This window comes from Homo sapiens, chromosome 1 (assembly GCF_000001405.40).
Source record: "Homo sapiens chromosome 1, GRCh38.p14 Primary Assembly".
In the NCBI taxonomy this organism is placed as follows: domain Eukaryota; kingdom Metazoa; phylum Chordata; class Mammalia; order Primates; family Hominidae; genus Homo; species Homo sapiens.
Window position 1 is genome coordinate 81,510,905 of NC_000001.11, and position 27,760 is coordinate 81,538,664.

The window sequence follows — 27,760 nt, forward strand, 5'->3', positions numbered from 1 at the left end:
GTTCGCACAGGTTTTCACAAGAAAGTAAATGAAGAGCATGGCCTGCAAGCTTAATCATATTAACTCTGAATATAATCAAAGCTTCAAAGTTTAACTCTATCTTAGCACTGAATGTGAATGGAAAACAAAGACTATAATATGAAGACATTTCTTAGTCTTGGAGGAAATTTTTTATTAAATATAAATTACTACCTCTCAAAGTAAAATTTACATTATATCTATAACAATATGAAATATCTTATTTAGCTACAACCAGATACTATTATTTGACTGTTTAGAACACAGAACAAAATCCTTCTAAAACCGGTACCTTGGAGGATGTTGTCTTTCTTTGAATTAAAGCCACAACTAACAAGCCAGGCACAGTGGCAAGCACCTGTAGTCCCAGCTACTTGGAAGGTTGTGGCAATAGAATCCCTTGAGCCCAGGAGCTCCAAGCCCAGTCCAGGTAACACAGCAAGACCTTGTCTCAGAAAAAAAAAAAAAAAAAAGCGCGCACACACACACACACACACACACACATAGACACATACAAGAAAACACCAACACCAAAGGCCAAATACTTCTCAACATACCAACGATTAGCAAGATTAATGATTACTTCTTTAACATATCAGTTCTCTCAAACTATTACTGTTAATAATTATAGGTAACTTGCACCTTTATTTTCTTTGTGTAGGGGGAAAGAAGTGGCCAAAGTATTTTATTTTAAATTAGTAATCTCACTTTTTTCATCAGAGTTTGTTTGATATGATTCTACTTTCCACATGTTTCTTATTCGCTGTTTTGTCTTTTAAGGCAGGGAAAGTGAGTCAAAAGCAAATCATGTTTCATGTGAATATTGGACTTTGACACTATTTGGACCAAATTATAGAGAAAACAATGTTCCGGAATTTTTTTTTTTCTTTAAACACTTATGAAGTGTCAAGATAGGCCTTAGTGAATCAACCAAGCACATTTTTCAAATTGTTTCAGTAAAGGGTGAGAAGTTGTAAAAACACCTTTTAAAATCTCAACGTTTTATAATAGCTTATTGCAATAATGGAATAATTTATTCCATTATTCCAAAGGGTAATGCTGTCTCTTTATCTGTTTGTCCATAATGTATGTCTGTGCAAACTTAGGATGGCTTTTACCTCATCGTGCTAAAAGAGCAAATGAGGAGATTTTAAACACGTCTACATTTTAATATGTGAGCCTGTAGGCTGCTATGCACAGTCTTCTACAGTTTATAGTGAGATGTTTCACATCAATTAAAAAAAAAGATGAGAGAATGGGTTACTTGAAGAGTTTGTTTCCTTATAATCAACTCTAAAGAGACTAAGGTCATGCAACAGATTTCTTTTTCTTTCTTTCTTACAGGGAGACTATGTGATGCAAATTGCTTTATTGGTGAAGGGAATTAAAATTATAAAAAGCTGGGCTTAAAGAAGTGCAAAATCAGAGCTGTGTCGGAGCAGGGACAATATAATTGTGGTATGGATTCCCATATGGGACTAAATTATCTAGATTTTAGTAACGTCAGCAGTTCTGTGTAGTTGCTGGAATGCGGCCAATGTGCCATATTTGCTTCATTTTTAAGATGGTTCTGATTCTACACAATGTTAAATATGCAGAAAGCTACAATTGTTCGGGTATCTTGGTGGCACTTCTCAGATACATCTCTTTGCATGTCAGAAATCTTATTTGACTATTAAACAGGAAGTGACACCAATGTGACTTTATTTTTCTAAGCAAAATGCCATTTATTATCATTTCTATCTAGGCTATAAAATCTTCCCAGTAGGGGGAAAAAATACCCTTTTCTGTGAGTACATATCAAGGTTGTCTTCCTTTACAGTGTACCATTCAGTAATACTGTTTTGTAGCAACTCAATAAAGCTGATAGTTTTTCTGGGTAATTACCCACAGCCCCCCTGCAGGACAAATTAGCATTCATGACCTGAATAATGCTTACTAGAAAGAGTTCAATGGAATTTACTTAATCAGAATCATTGCTTTCTCTTGGCTAATTTTTTTTTTTACCTAGTCCCCAACGCTTGCTAATAGCAAATATCTTTCAAGCCAATGTTTGGTATCTGATAGAGAAAAATGCATGAATCTTTAAATGTTCTAATGTATTTGTGAGTCTTGAAAAAATAAATGTATATTTTTTATATTGAGTGTGTGAAAAATTAAGATATCCATCTTCTTTAAAATTTCTAATTAAACTTACATGCTTATTTCTCTTTTTAATGCTTACTGGTTTCAGAAAGACAGAGAGAGATTTTTCATTTTCTAATTATCCCTCAATTGTTTCTCAATTTGCTGAGGACAAAGCTAGAGGATTGGTTGTGATTTTTGATAGATGCTTGGTAATCACTCTGTATCCTTAGGCATCAAAAATTAGGAGAACTTTGAATAGACAATGGGTGTTGTTTTTGACAATTTGATTGATTCTTACTTTGTTCTTGATGACTTATTTAATAATTTTATGATTTGAACCAAAATATATGAAATGTAGATACTAAGATATTAGAATAAAGGAGGAGAGAAAGTAATATTCACTGAGCTTCTACTACTTACAAAACACTCTGTGAAGTAAACAGTATATTTTATTAATTCTTGAAATGGCTCAGTGAGGGAAGGACTAGTATCTTCATGTTTATAAAAGAGGGAAATGTGTTTCAGAAGATACTTACTCCAGGTTATACAGCCAGTAATGAAACAGAACCGAGACACAATCCCCAGACTGCCTGAATCAAAAGCTTACACTTTTTTGGTTTTGTGTTTATGTGCAAAGATTTTAGGTTTTTAGGAAGGCAAGAAGAGGAAGTTCTAAACCAATTGGTTCTAAACCAATTCCCTTGACTGAATCTTTAATTTGGAAAAGACTCCTAACCTGGAAGAGGAAATGTTTCTAAAATACAGCTGCATATCAATGTCTTTGAAGGACAGCTCTATAGACAACAACCAAGATCAGAGAACCACAGCAATGGGGCCATCCTCTAAAGTTTATTTTAGCTTATTTATCCCCCCTTCCTGTCATCTTCTGTGAATCTTCACAACCCAGTGGAGTAAACGGCAGGTGTGAACTGTTGAGACACAGGCTCCCACAATGGAGCATTACTGAGGGTTGGGAAGTAATCCAGTCAAATCAAGCTGAAAGACAAAAGTGTGAGATAAGATCCAAAAATAACAAAGTAAAAGCAGAAAGGTCCTTTGGGGTTTCTATGCACTTAACTCAGTGGAGACATGGAATTTCTGTAGGTTGGGGAGATTTGTCTGGAGGCTTAGTTTGTATAGCAATCTCAGTTTTTACCTAGGTGGTATGGTTGTTTTGGATTGCATATTATGTTTGTTTAGAGTATATATTTATTGGAGGTGCCTTGGGGGAAGGCTCTCAGAGATTATGTGGGGTAGTTACAGCCGCAGAAAGAAACCTCTAGGCTCTTCCACTGATTAGATTGCATAGTTCGAATGAATTAAAACAGTCCAGTGCAACTGAAAAGGAGGATTCACTCATTCAGGCCCTTGTGCCTTGCAGTGCTGAACTGAATTTGGTACTTAATTAAGTTTCCAGGGGTGCAAAATGGCTATCCCATTTCTAAATCTAAATAAATCAAAATGTTTTTTCAACTTTGGGGGTTTCAGAAAACCCACAACACATTTTTTGCGCAGATTTTCCTTCCAAACACTAGAATATTGCGAGGAAAATTCAATCCATATGTTTCAGACTCACGTACAGTTGTATCAAAATCTTGTGTTGCAATTGACATTTGATGTTCATGAAGTTTTCTGAATGCTTCTTATTTGCCTTTAACTCAAGAACATAAAGTTGATTTGTCAAGCTTATAAGTACCAAAAACCCCAAAATATTACATTTGAGTTGAAGACAACAAATTTAAAATTCTGCATCGGGCATTAAATTTAATAAAGCTTTTGTCTTACCATCTCTGCAGTGTTGTGTACTTGCAGATAGGCATATGCCTGATGACATGGAGTACAAAGACACAGTATACTTTTGATATTGACATGGTGAGGAGAAAGTGAAATGATAGAAAAACAAGGACACATATTTTCTCTTCTGGTATTCCTCCGTGATTTAAATATTAACAGCATATTGTTTATAATTTAATGCAAAAAATATGTGCACTGACAGCCTATATCTAATTTCTTCTTCCATCCTTCAACAATCTCCGTTTAGATTCTGGTTGGTACTTGGCAGCTCTTCCTTTCCTGCCAGTGTTCAGGCAATGATGTATCTTCTGGTCAGTGGGTCCCTCCACATCACCACAAAGACAAGAGAATACTGGGAGGAGGAAAGGCAAGAGGAAAAATAAATCATTTAAACTGAAGCATCAGTGTCTTTGGGATGGTTATATAAAAGAATCTGTATTTGTTGCTATTAACGCTATTTTAGAGGTTTCTAAAATGATTATGTCCCTTTGTTCAAGGCTAATAATGTGGTTCTGCCTTTGCTTAGAACATGATAATGGTGCCTTCCAATCAGAATCAGCTCAGAGAGGAGAATCATTTTCCTAAGAGCCAGGAACCTCAGAAAAAAAAAAAAAAAAGTCTTCTGTTAGCACAAAATAAATAACAGTGTTCTGACATTTATTTATGACAGTGTCTGTATAGACAGTATAGTAGTTGGTCATTCACTTTGCTATGTGACTTGTATATGTGGGCTCTTTTATAGTTTTCATTATTCTTGTTTTCAGTGTTTCTTCCCTTAGAACAAAAATGATGTATGTTTATTGTGGAAAATAAGAAAATATTCGTAACTAAAAGAAGAAAATATTTCCGAAGCCTCACTTTCTAAAGATAACTGCTATTTACATTTATCATATGTCCCTTCATTGTATTTTATACATAAACATTCATGCACTGTATTTTTTATAAATATAAGATTATACAGCACATACTGTCAGTGGCAATATAGAGCAATAGAAGATTATGCTATATGTTTTTAAATCTTCTTTTCTTCTTTTATGATATGCTATATTTTAGATGGCTGTATATAGTTCATTGTTTGAGTGAAATATTAAATCAAGTATTCAAATATAATTATTCAAATGACTTCATGGTATTCCATTGTCAGAATGAACTATTTATCATCAAAATATTCAAATATAATTATTCAAATTTAATAATTCAAAATTTTAATTTTCAGGCTGTCCTAATACACTGGTTACATAAACAATACTTGAAAATAAGATCTTTCCTTCAAATCTTTGCCAGTGTGAATAATTTTTTCCTTAGAATAAATGCCCATAAGTGAAATAGCTAGTCGATGTTTTAAGGCTTTTGAAATATGTTTACAAAAATAGCATGCATTTTACTTTTTTTATTTTTTCAAAATGACAATAGATGTATGCCTCTGCTTCTATGACCTTTACTTGATCCTTGTCAGGGCAATTGCGAGAGGTCCAGAAGGTTGGGAATGTAGAATACGGTGGGTGGCCAAGAAAGACAATTATGCTGAAAAGTACAAAGTGACTCAAATGCACGTCTTGTTCCAAGATTCTTTGTTATTTAGATTCCTGCATTTTCTTCCTGCATCTTACTCAACACCCCCATCACTCCTGCAAAGTATTACCTGACTTTTAGAGTCTATAGTAAGAGCCCCACATGTTTTCCATGAATAAGGCTAGTTTTATAGTGAGCTCTGATCATCTGACAAAATAATATTTAATTGTAAGAAATGTTTTCAATAATCATGAAAATTCTTGTAAGTCTAACATGGGCCAACTTCTATTCGGGAACGTAATCATGTGTGAAGTCCCTGTGGAGTAAATTGGAATAATGTGAGTAACTAGGAAATGCAATCATTCTATCCCTAGTTAGGAGATGGATGAGACAGGAAAGCTAAGTGGAAAAGTGTATAGACCCTGTGGGAAAAGGTCTGAGTTTACACCCAACCCCTCCATTCACTAACTTTATGACTTCAAGCAAATGACTGGAGCTGCCAAAGTTTCATGTCCCCCTCTGTTGGGTGCTTATATGTTCTACATGCCATCTCGGTGGCGCAGACACACTAACTTGCATACAGTGGGTGGTTAATAAATAGTAAATACTTTAGCTTTTTTTAGACAGAGAAGATGCAAGTTACTCACTGAAGGCTATTTTAAATGCCTTTAGCCCATTTCAGCCAGAGGTCATATTGATTAAGAATCATATTCTGCTACAAGTAACAACAAAAAAAGAGTAGCTTAAACTAATAATTCTTATTTTTTTCACCTACATAATTCCACACCCAGAGGTGAACCTTGTTAGTGGTTATTGGTTGAAGAATGTCAAAACCGGCCGGGCACGGTGGCTCACGCCTGTAATCCCAGCACTTTGGGAGGCCGAGGTGGGCAGATTACAAGGTCCAGAGTTCAAGACCAGCCTGACCAACATGGTGAAACCCCATCTCTACTAAAAATACAAAAATTAGCTGGGCATGGTGGTGCACGCCTGTAGTCTCAGCTACTTCTTGGTAGGCTGAGGTGCTTGAACCTGGGAGGTGGAGGTTGCAGTGAGCGGAGATCATGCCATTGCACTCCAGCCTGGGCGACAGAGCGAGACTCCCTCTCAAAAAAAAAAAAAAAAAAAAAAAAAGGATGTCAAAACCACGATCCTTCGGATTAATGTATCGTTTCCTCTCAGCTACCAACATATGGCTGCTGCCACTGCTTTTGTCCACTGCTTTAGCCCCATGTCCCCATTTCAGGAAAGGAGAAAGAGGAAGTAATAGGAGGGAGAGGAAGCACCCAGGTGAGACATCCAGAGCAGACTGTGAATATCTCATTGGTGACTGCCACCCCTCACTGCAAGGAAGAGATGAAGAGCTGGGCACTTGCTTTTCTAAAGAAAACCAGAGTTACATTCCGTCTGCCAAAGATGACTTTTTCCTTTCTCTGACCATACCTCTTTCTTTTGTTTGCTTCCTGTTCGAGACAGAGTAGGCTCAGCTAGCATAGTTAGAGGGGCGTTACAAATCCCACCCAATAATTCTCACCCACCAGTTTCTGAGAATGCCTAAAATTTCAGCATCAGTGAATTAAGCTACCACCCACTATATGTTAAAATGCGTATATCTCTGGGAGGAAAGTTAGCACCTTGCTTCATTTCCATACTTAACACCTTAGATAACCAATAAATGCATTGATTAAATTCCCTTAAAGAGAAAATTAATTGAGACTAGGTTTTTAGCGAGGAAGGATGGAGAGTTCAGTTCTGCGTGACAGGCGCTAGCCAGGCAGGCAGGAGTAGGAACGCGTGAAAGGAAATAAAGAGCAGGAAGGGCAGCGTGAAGCTGCAGACAGGCAGTAGAGGCTGTTAGCAAATATTAGATAAGCACCTCAGAAACAAACACCACCTTTCACAGTGTGTCCTGGGAGTAGATCTGATTGCTCCTTTCTCTTTAGTCCTCATCGTGTCTGATCACATGCAAAACTCTATATTAATACACATCGAACACTCCAAACCACAAAATAGATAACTAGCCCAACCTGTGCCTGATATTCTGTTAAACCTCACTTCAAGCTTCACATTTTGTGAAGCCCAATGTGGTTACACTCAGGAGCCACTATCCAGAGAAATGGGAATTGTTGGCTATGCAGGCTACTTCTCAGGTGAGAGTCTTCTGACTTGATGTTAAGATAGCGGAAAGAGATGTTCATCCTCAACATTTGATAAGACAGACAGTGTAGCATTATTGTTCAGCTCATGATTTCTAGAGACAAACTGTGGCTTCAAATCCACAGTGACTATGGGAGAGGTATTTAACTTCTCTGTGCCTCAGTTTCTTCATCTGTAAAGTGACCATAATAATGGCATTTAGGCTTGGCGTTGTGGAGGAGGTTGCAGTGAGCTGAGATCGTGCGACTGCACTCCAGCCTAAGTAACAGAGTGAGACCTTGTCTCAAAAAAAAAAAAAAAGGTATTTATCTCTTTAGTTTGTTGTGAAGATTAAATGAGATATATAACAAGAGCTGAGAACTGTGCCTGGAACACAGAAGTGTTTGCTTTATTAAGTTTAAAGCATTACTTTTTTCTGTCTCAGATCTTTTCCATAGATACTGATAATCATATCTTATATGTCTATAGCTTTTTACGATTTCCAAAGCATTTCCCTATGTATTTACTCATTTCAGGCAGGTGGGTCATTTTTATTAGGCCCATTTTACAGATGGGTGAATGGAGTCACAGAGATTATGCGTATGTCCAAGGTCACATGGATATTAACAAGGCAGAGACCTAAACCCAGCTATTTGAAGACAAATTCAATGCACTTTCTGTTATGCCACATTGACATATTTGGAAGCAAAAGTTTTGACATCATGGCAAAATGAACATGTCTCAGAGTTGATTCTGTTTATGTGTATTCCTGATTCCCAAAAGCTGAGTCTACCTATAGGTATTATCCAGTATACTTGCCTGGGTAGGTGTAAGAAGTATTTGACTTCCTGACTCATATGTAATTTCTGTACTATTCCAGAAGGATCACAATTTATTCCATTACTATTGAATGACCCAGTAATTATACTTCTAGGAATATACCCAAGAAAAGAATCTTTAGCAGTGAAAGAAAAAAAAATAGTTGTATAACAAAAGATACTAATTTAAAGTTATATATAATAGCCAAAGAAGCAACAAATAATCTAAATATACTTGGCATAGGATCAGTTAAGTAAACTCTCACACATCAACTTAATGAAATAATGATGATGATAATAACTATTGTATATTGAGCATCCAGTATGTGCAATGCATTTTACTATCTCCTTTCAAATGGCATCTCTTTTGATTTCCTAAGAGTTAGGCATTACTGTCACCCCATTACACAGATAATGCCCCAAAGCCAAGGTTGTGTGCCCAAAGTGACAGATACGGCTAATGACTCATCCTTCAACCTTTCTTGCTTCTTTATTGCCAAGGAGCCCTGATTTTGCTTGAGAAAAAAGTACCCAGCCCCAGAAGATAAATCAAGAATAGTCCAAGCTGATAAGAGCACTTCCAATCTCCTTGCAAGTACTAAGTCTAGGGATGGGCATGTGGTATAATTCTTGTCAATAAGATTTAAGAATAAATTTTCTTGGGCTTCTTGAAAATCACTTCCTCAAGTCTTTTTTAATTTTCTTTTTTCCTGCTCCCTTTTTTCTTGCCTTTGAACATTTTTATGAGAGTAGATGATGCTGGAGGCTGAAGCAGCCATTTTGGGATCATGAAGGGATTAGAAGCAAATGATGAGAATGACAAAGTAAACAAGAAAAGTAATCTAGGCCCCCAGTGGCTGCAATTAGCCAACAAGCTACCCTGGTATTGCCTGCTGCCTTTTGGGTTTTCTTTGTTTTTTGTTTGTTTTGTTTTTTAATAGAAGCAATACACATCCTTTTGAGATAAATCACTACTCATCTACTGTTTAGTACTAAAACCAATTATATTAGGTAGGATTTGATAAAGCTGTGAGTGACATAAAAACACCATCCCCGCCCCTCTGCCACACACACACACATACACACACATACTAACTTGAACTTAAACACCTTTTAAAGTCTCTGATATGGTTTGGCTCTGTGTCCCCACCCAAATCTCACCTTGAATTGTAATCCCCATAATCCCTACATGTAAAGGGAAGGACCTGAAGGGAGATGATTGGATCATGGGGGTGGTTTCTCCCATGCTGTTCTCATGATAGTGAGTGAGTTCTCATGAGATCTGATGGTTTTATAAGTGTTTGACAGTTCCTCCTTCAGACTCTCTTGCCTGCCTCCACGTTAGAAGTACCTGCTTCCCCTTCTGCCATGATTGTAAGTTCCCTGAGGCCTCCCCAACCATGCAGAACTGTGAGTCAATTAAACCTCTTTCCTTTACAAATTACCAGTCTTGGGTAGTTCTTCAGCAAGGTGAAAACTGACTAATACAGTCTCTCTCATAAAAAGTCTATGACAGGCAGTCTGGCACAAATATGGCATTCCACGAAGTCCTGAGAGACCCAGGCTTTTCTGGCTTTTCATTCCCCGATCCCAGGATTGTGCCCACCACAGGGACCAATACGGCTACTTGATTTCCAGCATTCTAGCCAACAGAAAGGAGGAAGGAGCAAAGAAGAACATGTGCCCTAACTTTTAAAATAAGCCAGAAAGTTTCACACACCATTTTATTCACATCACATTGGATAGAACTGCTAGCTGCAGGAAAAGCAAGGAAACGTCATCTTTATTCTGGAAGGTCATGTACTCAGCTAAAAATCAGTGATTCAATCAGTGGGGAAAAAAGTAAAGAACATGCAGAGGGAAACACATGGCAGCTGATGAATCCATATCTGTCTGACTTTAAAGCTATGCACTTACTGCTATATTCCACTGTCTCTTGTGGCTAATTATACTATATAGTGATGTGGAAAATGTTATATTATTTTCCATCCTTTAAAACTATTCACAATTAAAATATAAAAAGAAAAATGCTTTTAATATGTTAAACAGGATAAAATTATATAATATATACAGGTAAAATTATGATTTCAAAAGAGTCAAAGGAGTGGTTGTATTTGAATTTAGGAACATGAAGGTATCACAGATTTCTTCCTACTTTTCTCTATTCTTAAGGCTTCTTTAATAAGGAAGTAATCATTTTGTAATAAAAATATCTTATACTTACCTATATATCATATTAAAATCATATAAACTACTTAGTCACTGAAGCTTTTTATATATAGCCATGAAGCAGAGTCTGTAAGTGGTGGATTTTATGTAGAAGAAAAATGATAAATAGCATGTCATTTGATGCTTCATAATTTTTGGTTTTTCACTTTCTGGGTCACAGATTTCTCAAAGAGTTTTCATTCTTTCCACACTTTAGTTAGGTGATTGAGGAAGGTGTCAGGCTACTGAGACATGGGAAAAGATGATGTGGAGGAATTAAATTCTTCTTTTCTTTTGGTTGAGTATACAAAATACAGAGTATGATTTCATAGTCCTTCTCCTGTGTGTATTAACCTCTGTCTGCTATGGGCAGTATTGAGAAGATATTGAGAAGATATCGTCATTGGCATTCAAATGAGATACATACTTGTATAATAAATGTACTTTTTGTTTTTTTTTTTTTTTGAGAAAGAGACTTGTTCTGTCACCCAGGCTGGAGTGCAGTGGTGCAATCTCGGCTCACTGCAGCCTCTGCCTCCTGGGTTCCGGCGATTCTCCTTCCTCAGCCTCTTGGGTAGCTGGGATTACAGGCGCACACCACTGTACCCAGCTAATTTTTGTATTTGTAGTAGAGATGGGTTTTCGCCATGTTGGCCAGGCTGGTCTCGAGCTCCTGACCTCAGGTGATCTGCCCACCTCAGCCTCCCAAAGTGCTGGGATTACAGGTGTGAGCCACTGTGCCGGGCCATAAATATACTTTCATATATACTGATTTAATAAAATCAGTGCTAGGAATTGATGGAGTGGTTAGAATCAAGAAATTTGAAAAAAAGGGAAAAAAGAATTGCTGGTTGGTAGTGATTAAGTGATTAAGGAATATATTGAGGGTGCTAGGATTACTACATTACTAGAGGAACATTATAAATATAACATGTCAGTTCAAGAGCTCTTCTTCTCCATTTGGTGAGTGCACATGCACAGTTGGCTTATGTGGCATCTAGAGGGCCAGCAGCACATATCAAGGAGGTGTAGATCCCAGGATTGTCCTGTAGTATAGGTGATGCATAGCTTAAGAAGTTATGTTCTATATGTGGTTTAAGCTATACTTTTTCTGTCTTTAATATGTACTTGCTTGCTGATTTTTTAAGAGGAAAAGGGACAAAAACAACATTGAAAATTATTTAAACCAGTGAAGTTAAGTGTAATTCTAATACAACAGATAAAAATCCGTATTTTATCTCTTAAATTATTAGGATGATAAAGCTAATTTTTGCGTGCTTGATTGTTTTGTATTCATTATCCAGTCCAATAAATTGAGTATACAAATTTTACTCTTACTCAACAAGAAACCTATGGCTCATTTTTAGTAATTTATTTACATTCAAAGGTTCAGTAGGAATTTCATATCTGAATATGCTCTAGAGAAGATATCTTTTTTATTTAGTTTCCAAACTATGTAATTCAAGAACTGTAAAGTGGTTGAGGCTACAATTAAAGATATGGCTTCTCAATGGCAACACAGAAAAAAAGTTACCTGGAAAAAAAATTAACAAAAATATGAGCAAACACTATATGACGGAAGTTCAAAAACTACTGAAGAACAAAAAACACTTGCATAGATAGAGACCCATACAATGTTCTTGGATGAGAAGATATATCATAAAGATGTCAATTATCCTTAACTTTACCTGTAGCTATTATGTCATACTAATATAAAACGTTAATCAAAGTATTTCCAGAACAAGATAAGCTGATACCAAATTTTTTATATGAAAAAATAAACAATCAAATAGAGCCAGGAAGTCTTAAAAAGAAAAACACTAAAAGGGAACTAGATCTTCCAGTTATTAAAACATCCTATAAAGCTTCAATAATTAAAGTATTATAATATTGGCATGCATACACACACACAGAGAGAGAGAGAAGGAAGGAGAGAGATAGAACAATAATTTGAATCTATAACTCATCTATACCATAAGTCAATATTTTTTAAAATAACCCAATAAAACATGGGTAAAGGAAATGTACAGCTATCTCATAGAAAAGAAAATACATTTAAATAAAACAAAAAATGGTTGATCTCACTCATAATCTGAAAAATACAAATCGAAATCACCCAAACTTTTTTCATGTATCAGATTGGCAAAGATCCAAAAGTTGGATAACACCCTATGTTGGTGAAGGTTTGGAGAAACTAAATCTCTTCCACTTCCATAGAAATAAATTTGGCAATAGCAGAAAAAATAAATAAATTTTAAAAATCGGGCCTGGTACGGTGGCTTGTGCCTGTAATCCCAGCACTTTGGGAGGCCGAAGTGGGCGGATCACAAGGTCAGGAGTTCAAAACCAGCCCAGCGAAGATAGTGAAACCTCGTCTCTACTAAAAATACAAAAGAAAGTAGCTGGGTGTGGTGACAGGAGCTCATAATCCCAGCTACTCAGGAGGCTGAGGCAGGTGAACTGCTTGAACCCGGGAGGTGAAGGTTGCAGTGAGCCAAGATTGCGATATTGCACTCCAGCTGGGTGACGGTGCAAGATTTCATCTCAAAAATAAAAAAATGGGCCAGGCGCAGTGGCTCACGCCTGTAATCCCAGCACTTTGGGAGGCCGAGGCGGTTGGATCACGAGGTCAGGAGATCGAGACCATCCTGGCTAACACAGTGAAACCCCATCTCTACTAAAAAAAAAAATACAAAAAATTAGCCGGATGTGGTGACGGGCGCCTGTAGTCCCAGCTACTCGGGAGGCTGAGGCAGGAGAATGGCGTAAACCTGGGAGGTGGAGCTTGCAGTGAGCCGAGATCGAGCCACTGCACTCTAGCCTGGGCAACAGAGCGAGACTCCGTCTCAAAAAATAAATAAATAAAAATCATACAAACATACAAATCTTCTGAAACTGAAATTATGCTTCTAGGAATTAATTTGAGAATCTATTTAGGATTATACACATACATGTGAAAAACTACATATATATAGGATGCCATTACAGTGTGTGTGTGTATAAAAGCAAAAGATAGGAAAGAACCTAAATAGGAAGACATCAATAGAAGACAGTTTAAACACGTAATGGAACAACCATATAATGTAATAATTTATCCAAATATGAAAGAAAAAAAACTTCATGTATAAATACTAAACATTTTTTAATTTATATTAACAACAACAACCAAAAAAACAAGATGCAAAACAGTATGTATAGCATGCTACATTTATGTTTTTAAAATGGAGTTTGGGGAGAACATCTTGACTCAGGCCTGTAATCCTAGCTACTGGAGAGGGTCAGGGGGCTGAGGCAGGAGGATCTCTTGAGTCCAGGAGTTAGAGGCTACAGGGAGCTATGATCGTGCCACTGCATTCTAGCCTGGGCGACAGTGAGAACTTGTCTCTTAAAAAAAAATAAAAATAGGATGGAATATATACATTTGTATAGAATATCTTTGTAAAAGTACCCAAGAAAGTAACAAAGTTGTTTATCTCCAGGGAAGAACATTGGGTGGTTAGGGGACAGAGGTAAAAAGAGAGACTTCTCATACTTTTTATATCTTTTGAATTAGAACCTTTTGAGGTCATCACTATTCAAAAAATAAACTAAAATATAACAAATTTTAAACACCTTAGCTTGTAACTCACAGTCATACCCCATAAGTGTGGCTCTTTCAGGCACATATTTTCTAACTGAAGGGAGAGTGGCTCACCTCTCTTCAAACCAGTAAGCTTGAAATCTAAATACAAATTAGAGAGTACCCGGAAGGAGCCTAACATTCCACACGTGTAGTAAAAATGTCAACATGGACATTCCAAAGTGCACTTTTTTTTTTTTGGAGACAGTCTTCCTCTGTCCCCGAGGCTGGAGTGCAGTGGTGCGATCCCGGCTCACTGCAACCTCCGCCTCCTGGGTTCAAGCGATTCTCATGCCTCAGCCTCCCGAACAGCTGGGATTGCAGGCGTGTGCCACCAAGCCCAGATAATTTGTGTATTTCTAGTAGAGACGGGGTTTCACCACATTGACCAGGCTGGTCTTGAACTCCTGACCTCAAGTGATCTGCCCCTTTCAGCCTCTCAAAGAGCTGGGATTACAGGCATGAGCCACCATACCCTGCCTATAAAGTGTACTTTCTGACATAGTGTATAAAATGTCTTCCTAACTCCATTTTCAGTGGTATCGTGTTGTTAGCTTGAAATCTACTTTAGTGAGAGTATTTATCCCAAGGAAATAGGAAACGCTACACATCAGGGCTTTATTATATTGGTGGGGGGCAAAGGTGGAGCCAGTAGTAAGACCAGCACACCACTGGCTTAAATGTTCTACCTTTTGCCATGATTTTCTTTACAACTTTCAAATTACTTGACATTACTTTTCTAAAACATGGATTGATATTTATTTGACAGTGAAGCTGATGAAAGATGCACAATAAGGAAAGATAAGCATAATGTGAGTTGAACGCTAATAACTAAAAGTGTATCCTCATCTTGGTGCACAACCCATGACACCCACTGAGAAGACCAAGATCAGATCATGGAGCTGCCACTCACTGTGTCTTCCCAGTTTAATTGGACAAAGAATTTTCTCTGTTTCCTTTTATAGACAATTACATAAAAGCTAAAGAAGTAAAATTAAGCAGATTTGCAAGCTTATTTTGTCTCCTTGTATCATATAGTGCATTTCATTTAATATTTGCCTGTTTTATTAATAATTGAAAGCCACTTTGCAACATACAGGCATGCAGAATAACTTTTGAACCTATGGGAATTAATGTCTAGTGAGAATGGTCTAGGAATAATAAAAGTTATGATATAAAAACCCTGATCAGCTATTTTGCAGTTTAACTATTCCCTGTAGATATTTTCCTCACATTATTACCCTCCTTTCACTTGAAATTCATATATCAAATTCATGTCAATATTATAGCTTGATAGGTAGCAAACTACTTAAAAAGATATGTATATATTTTTAGATACAATTAAGTTAACCTTTTAAAAATATAAAGAAAGAAAAAGCAGAATGTCATTACACATCTTCAAAAAGAAATTACTTTGAATGTAGAGAAGAGATATGTAATGTTTAACATCATTCTGTGTTAAACTTTTAAAAGTCCCGATTAGGATTCTCTCCTATTGAGATTTTTCTCTGGGAGGGAGATTTTGTTTTTTTAGGAATGTTTGTATTTTTTCTGCTTTAAAAACAGTTTCTACTTATGTAAATATGCCTACCTTGCTATTACCTGTGTCAGTAATGCCCAGAGGAAAGTCTATTTCGAATATACACATTCTCCATATTTGGAAACTGTAAATTAAATCAGATATTTTTGTCTGTTTGTTATTACAATTCTAGGGTAAGTTCGCCCAAGGGCAGAGCTAACACAAGCGCACCTCCTTATACTGCTATGATGCCCTGATTTACCCTATTTGAGGGAATAGTATTGACCGTTTGGAGCCACCTCTGGCTACAGTATTTCTCTGGCTATCAGGTTAATGGATCTGTTTGGGTGGTATTAAAATCAAAATGATCTTTAAATTGCATCTGGCTGCAAAATTTGCAAAAGCAAAATATAAAATCTATACATGAAAATCAGAATGTTTTCATTCAATAAAGTCGAATTCAGCATTTAATCTGTTAGGTACTATTAGGATCACCAATAAAATACCAACCTGGTTCTGCTCTTTAGGAACCACAAAAACAATGCAGATCATTTCCTCACTTGAGTTTGTCACATAGACTTCCTCAACCAGTTTCCCTCATCACAAAGTGTTGTCAGTCGCAGCTGTAGTCTGAGTTTAACCCCCCAAAATTCATATGTTGAAACTTACTCCCCAATGAGATAATATTAAGAGGGGGAGTCTCAGGGAGGAGTTTAGGTCGCCTCCTACACCAGCCCTCATGAATGGGATTAGTGTCCTTATAAAAGCGGTCGAAGTCGAGCACGGTGGCTCAGGCCTGTAATCTCAGCACTTTGGGAGACCAAGGCAGGTGGATCACCCAAGTTCAGGAGTTCGAGACCAGCCTGGCCAACATGGAGAAACCCTGTCTCTACTAAAAATACAAAAATTAGCTGGGCGTGGTGGCAGTCGCCTGTAATCCCAGCTACTCAGGAGGCTGAGACGGGAGAATCACTTGAACCCGGGAGGCGGAGGTTGCAGTGAGCCAAGATCGCGCCACTGCACTCCAACCTAGGGGATAGAGCAAAACTCTGCCTCAAAAAAAAAAAGTGATCGGAGGGAGCTGCCTTGTCCTTTCCACCATTTGAGGACAAAGTAAGAAGATAACTTCTGGCCAGGCAAGGTGGCTCACGCCTGTAATCCCAGCATTTTGGGAGGCTGAGGCGGGTGGATCACGAGGTCAGGAGATCGAGACCATCCTGGCTAACACGGTGAAACCCCGTCTCTACTAAAAATACCAACAATTAGCCGGGTGCGGTTGCATGCACCTGTGGTCCCAGCTACTCGGGGGGCTGAGGCAGGAGAATGACGTGAACCCGGGAGGCGGAGCTTGCAGTGAGCCGAGATCGCGTCACTGCACTCCAGTCTGGGCCACAGAGCGAGACTCCGTCTCAAAAGAAAAAGAAAAGGAAAAAGATATCTTCTTGCAAGTACAGAGTGAACCCTTACCAGACAACAAATTCGCTGACAGCATCTTGATCTTCAACCTCCCGACCTCCAGAACTGTGAGAAATACATTTCTATTATTTATAAATTAACCAGTTTTAGATATTTTGTTAGAGCAGCCTGGATGAACTAAGAGAGTTGGAGAAAAGAAGCAAGATACAACTGGTGCCAAAATGAGTGATCCCATGAGTGCTATAGGAATTAGATAGAAGGTAGCTGAGGTTCTTTAGAATAGAAACTGACCCGGCCCGGCGCGGTGGCTCACGCCTGTAATCCCAGCACTTTGGGAGGCCGAGGCGAGTGGATTCAGGAGGTCAGGAGATCGAGACCATCCTGGCTAACACGGTGAAACCCCGTCTCTACCAAAAATACAAAAAATTAGCCGGGCGCTGTGGCAGGCGCCTGTAGTCTCAGCTACTCGGGAGGCTGAGGCCGGAGAATGGCATGAACCAGGGTGGCGGAGCTTGCAGTGAGCCAAGATAGTGCCACTGCAGTCCGGCCTGGGCAAAAAAGTGAGACTCCATCTCAAAAAAAAAAAAAAAAAAAAAAAAAAAAAGAAAAAGAAACTGGCCCTTATTCATATTGGTAGTCTGAACACCTGGAATATTTCCTGGCATATAATAAAGACTCAATAAACATCTATTGATTGCAGGATTAAAGTAAATAAGTGGTTCATTGTTGGCTGATGCAGAGGGAAAACCTTATGGATAAAATAGAATTTTAACTCTATCTTGAAGGATGGGCAGGATTTGTATTAATGAGGAGAATAGGAAAGGATACTATAAGTGAGGAAGATAGCAGATGCTAAACTCCAGAGAAGTAAGAAGGGTGTTTTAAGAGGGCGATGAATAAGATTTCCAGGCCAGTGCTAAGAGCACATGGAGCCAAAAGTAAAACCTAAATGTTGCTAGAAAAGGTGAAAAAAGATTTACGAAGAGCCTTAAAAACTAAGCTGAGGAGTGTGGAGTTTATTAGGTAAGTAAATGAGCAGTGGAGGAAAGACATGATGAAAAATGCTGTTTGAGGGAGCTAACCTGGCCGTGGTGGGAGGATAGAATCCCAGGAGGGAAGTAGGAGCTGTGACCCCACAAGGGGAGGTGCATGCAGCAAAGCAGCTGTTGCTATAGTGCAGAGGTGAAGGACAGTGGAAAGAAGGGAGGAACTGATTTGGGAGAAACTGGAAAGTAAGAATCCAGAGCATTTGGTGACTTTTAATATGAAGCATGAGAGGCAGGGGCCAGGAGAATAGGATAAAGTTGGTGCTAGTAACGGACTGCAGAAAGAATAAGCAGCATGTTTCAGTTGCGCCCTGTGGCATTCTTCTGGGAATAATTGTGTTATCTGTTGCCATGAATTGTCCAATATATATTGGGTGCAATTAGGTACTTATTGAATGCTTATCTTTTGTCCAACTATGCCAGGAGCTATGGGAAATATAGAAAAAGTAAGTCAATAACATGAACATCTTCAAAATGCTGGCATTATTTTTTATTGTTGTATTGTTATTTTAAAAACATTTTTGAACCACTGTTGGTTGAATCTATAGATGCGGACCCCATGGATGGGGAAGGCTGACTGTACTATAATTTCTCCTCAGTTTACTTACACAAACAGTGACTCTGACAGTGGCAAATTAACTTGCCCAGCATAACAAAGCCAGTAAATAGTAGACTCAGAAATAAAATCCCAGCAGTCTAAAGCCCAAAGTCTGCAGTTTCACCATCACACCATACAGGATTTACTGTATGGAAGTAGTTAATAAGGTTAAATGACACTAAATATTATTGAGGAACAAAACCTGTGGTATCATGAAATTTGTTTTAGGGCAGGAGGAAGAGATGAGGCTCACAAGAGAAACTGTATACGCAATAACATGCCCAAGGTCACTGACAAAAAGGCATAAATCTGGGCTAGATGATGGCTACAGGGTTGAATGCCAGGAACAGTGTTGTCACTCAATATGCACTGGGATCAATCAATTAAATACTTATAGATCACTGATCATACATCTAGTAGTGACAGGCCTAGCACCTGGTAGTGACAGGCCTAGAAGTTGAGGATGAATGTACCCTCTTCTCACATTTTCCAGGCTTCAGCTTTATCTTCATACCAGTACAGGCCCAGGATACAGTTCATTCAGGCATGCACCATATTTCAGATCAACTCAAGCTGCCCCTTCCTCAAGGTGGCACAAATTCAAAAGTATTCCTGTGATTTTATTATTATTATTATTTGTATTTTTTTTGAGACAGGGTCTGGCTCTTTCACCCAGGCTGGAGTGCAGAGGCAGTAGCTCAGCTCACTGCAACCTCCACCTCCCTGGGCTCAAGCAGTCCTCCCACCTCAGCTACCTGAGTAGCTGGGACCACAGGTATGCACCACCACACCAGCTAATTGTTTTGTATTTTTTGTAGAGATGGGGTTTCACCATGTTGCCCAGGCTGGTCTCCAACTCCTGAGTTCAAGTGGTCCGACTGCCTCAGCCTCCCAAAGTACTGAGATTACAGGCGTGAGCCACCATGCCTGGCCTTGATCTTCATCATACTCAGCTTCATCATGTTCAGCCTTATTACTCTGGGACAAAGCCTCTAGAAGCTCTAAGTGACACGAGCAGTGTAGTATTTTTAGTACATAGGATGAGCTGGAGAAGAAATAGAACAGAGTTTAGAAAGTTAAATACCTGGGCTGGGCCTGGTGGCTCATGCCTGTAATTCCAGCACTTTGGGAGGCCAAGGCAGGCAGATCACGAGGTCGGGAGTTCGAGACCAACCTGGCCAATATGGTGAAACTCCATCTCTACTAAAAACACAAAAATTTAGCCAGGCATGGTGGCGCACACCTGTAGTCCTAGCTACTTGGGAGGCTGAGGCAGAAGGATCACTTGAACCTGGGAGGCAGAGGTTGCAATGAGCTGAGATCGCACCACTGCACTACAGCCTGGGTAACAGAGCAAGACTCTGTTTCAAAAAAAAAAAAAAAGAAAGAAAGGTAAATGCCTAGCACTCTATATGATGCATGCCTGGTATGCAATAAATAGTTGTTAAAAGAAGAAAGAAACTTTAAAGAAGATATTCTGATAATCCACATTTGAGGAGAGAAGGACTCTTGCTGGTAGAAAAGGAGAATTAAGAATGAATCAAAAGAGCTTTCACAGGAAAAATCAACATAATAGATTGCATGTATGGTAATGGAAAAAGAAAAGTCATAGACTACACCAACTTTTGAACCTATATACTGTGTTTGAGAAATTATATAACTGATAGAGATTCTGAGAATTAGAAGTTTCATTAGGGTAGGAATTCTCTCTCTTATTATCTATGGTAATCTAGAAACTAGCCACATGCTTAGTTCATAGTAGACAGGCAATTAATAATTAGGGTGCTGAATAAATAATGTATTCATCTTAAGAAGAAAACCAAACTCTCATAATCCTCAAGCTGTGAGTCTCAACTCAGAGCAGTGACATTTACTGCTGGGAACCCACGTCTTAATGAGCCACTCTTACAGGAGGAACTTTGTTATATCCTTTAATAAGTTAGATCGGGGGAAAAAAACAGAGACAGGGAGATGTTTGAGGACCACTGTACTAGCACAAATGCCTAGTGGCATTCTTGATTTCAGGTTAGGGCTAGGATCGTGTCTAGAATGAAGGGCCTATATTAGTTATTGGCTGGATTCCTGAAACCAACTCCAAGATGAATTTATCAGGAAGGTCAGTGGACCCCTCACTTGCATAAGCCCCTAAATTTCTTAAATTTTTATATACTTTAGACACCGTAAAACCTGGACCTACCACTAAACCACTGGTCATATACTTAGGTCTAACTGGCATAAAAAATGATTTGAATTTCCCTCTTGCCTTTTCATCATCCCAAATAACTGAAGTCTGCATCCTAAGCTTGGAATTAAAACTAAATTCGAATTTTAGTCATGCCTTTACAAGCTCCATGGCTTTAATATACTATTTAATTTCTCTGAGTTCAGTTTTCTCATCTGCAAAATGGGAATATGAATAACTACCCTTCAGCGTTAGTATAAGCTTAAATGTGCATAGGAGTTCAATAAATTCAGCTCCATTATTATTAGTACTTAGCACAACGATAATTCTACTCATTTTTCATGTTCAAAATATTATACATAATTGTCATTTTGTTATAAACCCTCAGAGCCCCAATAAATAAGGTTACCCTAATGTTTCCTCTACTTTACTTTTCCAGTTATCCTGCTAGGAGGAATCCTGGAAATAATGATTTGCAAGAGTTATGTACCAGATTCAGAACATACATTTTCTTTTTTTTAACTTCTATTCTCTCAGTATCTGCTGAGTATGAATATAAACGTAAGCACTAAGCTTTTATGAATAATATCTGAGCTGCAGAGATTACTGTTTCACCAGGTTATTCCAAGCAATTTTTCAGGCTGAACAAAAACCAAATTTATCATATAATTTAGTGGTCATTTTTTTATCATCTGGAAACCAAAAAAAAAAAAAAAGCCATGAACACCAATGAATAGGCCTGCCTGGTGGCTCATGTCTGTAATCCCAGCACTTTGAGAGGCCGAGGCAAGAGGATCACTTGAGCCCAGGAGTTTGAGACCAGCCTGAGCAACATAGTGAGACCTCACCACTACAAAAAATAAATGTAAAAAATTAGCCAGGTGTGGTGACACATGCCTGTGGTCCCAGCCACTCGGGAGGCAAAGGTGGGAGGATCACTTGAGCCCAGGAGATCAAGGAAGGCCACAGTGAATCGTGACTGAACCACTGAACTGTAGTCTGGGCCACAGAGTGAGACCCTGTCTCAAAAAAAACAACAAAAAATTCTATCTATCTATCTATCTATCTATCTATCATCTATCTATCTATCTATCTATCCCAATGAATAAATGAACATACTTCTGTACTGTAACAATTACTAACTAAAGAGTGGTTAGAATTTTATTATTTGCCTAATCATATTTTAAATAAAAATGGGTGGCCAGGTGTGGTGGCTCACACCTGTAATCCCAGAACTTTGGGAGGCCGAGGGGGGTGGATCACCTGAGGTCAGGAGTTCAAGACCAGCCTGGCCAATATGGTGAAGCCCCGTCTCTACTACAAATACAAAAATTAATCAGCTGTGGTGATGCACGCCTGTAATCCCAGCTACTCGGGAGGCTGAGGCAAGAGACTCACTTGAACCCATGAGGCGGAGGTTGCGGTGAGCCAAGATTGTGCCATTGCACTCCAGCCTGGGCAACAGAGTGAGGCTTCATCTCAAAAAAACAAATAAATAAAAATGGACTCTAACATAGTTTTTACTGAGGGGAGGGCTCTCACATTCTTTTGCTCTTAAGTATGTTCCTCTGAATTTGTCTTCCACTTTACCTACTCACATCATTCTGGCATAGGAAGAAAGAAATTAGGCCAAATCTTCCCCAAATATTTAAAGTCTGCAGGCTTCTTTTCCTTGCAGTTATACTTAAGGGTCCTTTAATTTTAAAGAAAATAAAATACCGAGAGCTACTCTGAATTCCAGAAGCATTTAGATTAATTTTATCTGAACAATCTTAATATCAGCTACATGCATTGAAAGCATAGTCTTACAAATGTGTGTAAACTATAATTTATTCTATTACAGAGCTTAGTGTTCATTATTCTGGAAATAACTCCATATCCAGCTCCCTCCTCCCACCCACACCCTCACACTAGGAGTCCAAGGGGCACCAGCAGTGAATCACTGTTTTAGGTACTTGAGAATCTGTGGTCAGGTTGTCTTTGCCCATTTGTGTGAGTCTTGACGCCTTCCTAGCCTAAAAGAAAATAGAACATAAAGAAGGAAAGCACCTGGGCTACGTTTAGATCATGGGGTCTCCAGACAAAGCCTCACTATGAACATATGAGGACAATCTCCTTTTCTAGACTATCGTCAACCCAAATTTGAATTCTGGTTGTGCTGTTTATTAAAATGTGGGTGTCATCTAACCAAAATGGGCTTCATAATCTTCTTTATCTGCTAATTACAAGTTATTTTATTTTATTTCATTTTATTTTATTTACTATTTATTTTTTATTTTTTTGAAACCGAGTCTTGCTCTGTTGCTCAGGCTGGAGTGCAGTGGTATGACCTTGGCTTACTGCAACCTCCGCCTCCCAGGTTGAAGTGATTCTCCTGCTTCAGCCTCCCAAATACCTGGGATTACAGGCACGAGGCACCTTGCCTGGCTAATTTTTGTATTTTCGGTAGAGACGGGGTTTCACCATGTTGGCCAGACTGGCCTCAAACTTCTGACCTCTGGTGATCCACCAGCCTTGGCCTCCCAAAGTGCTGGGGTTACAGGCGTTAGCCACCGCACCAGGCCTGATTACAAGTTATTTTAGAAGAAAATACATTTTATCTACAGCATCCTCTACCAGATCAAAGCACTCTCACACATGTTATCTGATATGAGCTACACAATAACTTTGAGCCAAGACAAGACAAAGAAAACTGTTCCCATTTTTCAGAGAAAGAAATTGAGTCTGTGATCACATGGCTTTTTCAATTTAGATTTAATTAGTATTTGAGACAGATGCCTAGCAAGGTTTTCTGATTCTTGAACTAGTTAGTTTCTGACTACCTCCCGCTGGTCCTTCCATGTCTATAAATCTATGATTCTAATAATCATGGCCCATCTGAGAGACACCTTGCATGGCTTATGTCTGAGACTATTTGGTGGCTGGTAAGAACAGAATAATGCCACTATTCTTCAAGTTTTTTCAAAGGTTACAGAATCAAATGCAAGTTATTTTTAACATTCTTTGTGAATTCAAATACTAGGTGAATATTGTGATTTTTATTTCGATGACAAGAACATCCATTTAAGTACCTTCCCTCTTTCTTCCCCTACCTCCCCAACCTCTCTTTTTAACCCACAATCAGGGCCTGCTGGTTCTAAGCTTTTTGGCATCTCTGGATGAGTCTTATGTGATTTAAAATAGCTGCTACTGAGCTGTTGTTTAGTACTTTAGTCCAAGTCGGCTTTAAGTGTGTACAACGTAGAAAGAGTTCTTTTCTGAGGACTGACTCTAAGCTTCAAGAAATGTTGAAGGGTTTTGTTTTCCCAGAGCTGTCAAGTTTTTTGAGAGAACTGAAAAGATGCAACAAAGGAAGATGTGAGAGTGATTTTTAAAAATTTTAAATATCTCTTTGGTTCTCCAATCTTTTTCAAATTAAAGTTATATTGCTAACCATTCCATAGCTAAATGCCTCTACCTTTGGATTGTTGCGCTGTGGTGATTATGACCCTTATCTCATGTGTGTGTGTATGTGTGTGTGAATGTGTGTGTAAGTGTGTGAGTGTGCCGACATTCCTTTCTTTCAGACTTCTCTCTGAATGGTAAAGGTTTATCAGAGACTAAAAACTTATCTTTTCAAAATTGAATTTGTAGTAAAAGTGGTTTGATGTAGAAGGGAGGAGGGGAAGTAGAAACAAAAGTAACATTGGAAGAATAATAAGAGGAAAGCAGCAGACAGCAGACCCAGACTGTACAGTACACCATGTTTATGTGATTTACTTGGGGTTATATGTTTTTAAAAGCAACATATAAACGCATAGCAGGATTTTGGCAGATGAAATTATGTTGCATTTACTTTAAGACACTCAATGATGATAAACAGTTATTTAGTACAAGTAGTATGCCCGATGGTGCAAAGAACATTGAATTAGATATGGCTCCTGCAAAGTAGGTTTGAAATCTAAATACAAATTAGAGGCAGGATATAAAATGCCCAGGAAAAAAACCTAACATTTAAACATGTAAAAATGTCATCATGGACATTCTAAATGTACTTCCAGACATAATTTGTAAAATTTCCTAACTGCACATACAAACAGTGTAAATAAAGTCATATTTACACAGATTCAATCATGCAGATGTAAGCACATGAATCTCAGATATGCCATTTAAAAGTGATACATTGAGCTGCAAAATATAGGCATCCACCTGAAAATTGCTATCTTTACTGTTCATCTCCCTTACATTTTTACTTATATTCAACTTCTTTATAAATTACAAGTTTGAATAAACATCCAAACATTTGTTGTTTCTGAATAATATGTGCAGTATATATTTGAGTAAAATTTTCTCTAAATGATTTTTAAATTTTGTATTTGGCCCCTGTAGTCTCTCTTCACTTACTTTAATAAAATATTTTACTGGTTTTTTTTAAGTTGACAAAATGGAAAATTGAAGAGCCGTTGAAGAAAAACAAACAAAATTCTCCATGTGAACAATCGTTGCACATTGATGTCTTGAAACAAGAAAGATTTCTCCTATTTATTTACCAGAGATGAGTACAGATAATTTCATTGTACATCGATTTTCTCTAAGGAGGGAGGAAATGTGGTCAGCTAAAACAAAGCACTGAAATGGGGAATCAGCTGCCACAACTTCTATTCTCATCTCTATCTTCAGAATTTGCTTTGACTCTCAGAAACTCACTCGGTTTCCATGATCTGATCTAGGGTTTTTTGTTTGTTTGTGTCTTTGTTTCTTTGTCGTCGTTGTTTTCCTTTGGTGGTTATTTTGTTTTGTTTTGTTTTGTTTTTAACAAACATGATCAGACTTATAGTTAGAATTCTTGAACTGTTTTGTTAAGATATTTAAATTGGTCTGTTCTATAAATAATATATTGATAAAATGGTAACCAATACAATCATACATCATTCAGGAATATAATCATGTGAAATTCATGTAGCTAAGTGTTTAGTGAGTGCCTACTGCGTGAAGGGCACTGAGCTAGGCACTGCATAAGCGTATTTGGTCTTTAAATCACAACATACTTATGTAACTGTCATTATATGCAAATATAAGGTTCTCAGTAGGCAATACTGTGTGAAGTAAGAATAAAATTATCCAAGAGAATATTGCTATGAACTTTAAATACAAAGACCTCCTTTATTTTTGATAAATACTTGTTAAATACACAAAACATTTCAAACCTCTTGATCTGTTTTTATTGTTTTTGAATTACATATACGGAATATGTCCACTGTATACATTTTAAAAGTTGGCATGAATATGTATATTTACATATGCATATAACTAGAAAAAAGCATCATCCTATACCAGAAACACATACATCTGTGCCTTTTAAAGTTATAAGTTAAAACTTACAGTATGACTATTTCTTTTTTTTGTTTGTTTTGTTTTGTTTTTGAGATGGAATTTCGCTCTTGTTGCCCAGGCTGGAGTGCAATGGAGTGATCTTGGCTCACCACAACCTCTGCCTCCCAGGTTCAAGCAATTCTCCTGCCTCAGCCTCTGGAGTAGCTGGGATTACAGGCATGCACCACCATGCCCTGCTAATTTTGTATTTTTTTTAGTAGAGGCGGGGTTTCTCCACGTTGGTCAGGCTGGTCTGGGACTCCCAACCTCACGTGATCCTCCTTCCTCGGCCTCCCAAAGTGCTGGAATTACAGATGTGAGCCACCACGCCTGCCCAGCATGACTATTTCTAATGAAAAGCATTTTATCTTTACTAAAAGTACTGCTATTTTTCCAATTCCCAAGTTTCTTATGCTAGGCCTGTCTTCTTTTTCTTTTTTTTCTTTCTTTTTCTCTCTTTTTTTTTTTAGATGGAGTTTCACTCTTGTCACCCAGTCTGGAGTCCAGTGTCACCATCTCGGCTCACTGCAACCTCCACCTCCCAGGTTCAAGTGATTCTCCTGCCTCAGCCTCCCAAGTACCTGGGATTACAGGTGTTCACCACCACGCCCAGCTAATTTTTGTATTTTTAGTAGAGACAGGATTTCACCATGTTGGCCAAGCTGGTCTCAAACTCCTGACCCCAGGTGATCCATCTGCCTTGGTCTTCCAAAGTGCTGGGATTACAGGTATGAGCCACCATGCCCGGCCGTGTCTCCTTGATTACAGGAAAAGATAGGAAAAACATAAATAAAATGTCCTTTCAAATTGTCGATTTCATAATCATGCTTTTTATAAATTTATCTTTGAAAATGTTTTGGGCTTGGGTATTTAACAAGAAGTTCTGGGGCTTTTACTAGGTTTTATTTATATTTTGCTCTTCCCAACTATATTAGATAGGAATTTTGTTGGGTTATCATGACATAGAAACCCTGAAACACAGTGGCTCAAACAAGGTGCAGGTTAGTTCCCACTCACGTAATAGTTTGGATAGGCAGGGTTATTGGTATGCAGCAGCTGTGCCATCTTAGAGACACAGCCTCCCTCTGTGTAATAGCTCTGCCATCTTCAACTGTGGCTTTCATCTCTTGATCCACCATGGCTGCTCTGGCTCCAGTCATCATCTTTGTCATTAGCCAGCAGGGGGAAAAAAGGAAAGGAAATGCATGCTTCTTTCTTTTGAGGACATACTCTGAAATTTACACATGTAATTTCTGAAATTATTCATGGTAGTTGTTCAGGCACAACCACACTAGAAGACAAAATAGAGTAGTGAGATTCTTGCATCTATACATGGAATCTCTGGATACAATAACCACAAATACAGCCTCATACAAGGGTGTTATGTCGATGACTCATTATAGGCAGGATTATTG

At 38.2% G+C, this 27,760-nt stretch overlaps 1 protein-coding gene and 1 long non-coding RNA gene across 9 annotated transcripts in view; one reads left to right on the plus strand and one right to left on the minus strand.

The window, feature by feature from the left end:
* ADGRL2 (adhesion G protein-coupled receptor L2) overlaps positions 1–27,760 on the plus strand; it is a 687,801-nt gene that overhangs the window by 204,773 nt on the left and 455,268 nt on the right. The gene's annotated exons all lie outside the window — the stretch shown is intronic.
* The window catches only part of LOC101927434 (uncharacterized), a 43,823-nt gene continuing 19,038 nt past the window's right edge, over positions 2,976–27,760 (minus strand). Inside the window, exons 2-4 of the long non-coding RNA NR_125943.1 lie at positions 3,931–4,291; positions 3,726–3,802; positions 2,976–3,141 (exon numbers count right to left, since the gene is read on the minus strand). This is a non-coding gene — a long non-coding RNA (uncharacterized LOC101927434). The remainder of the gene's footprint in view (positions 3,142–3,725; positions 3,803–3,930; positions 4,292–27,760) is intronic.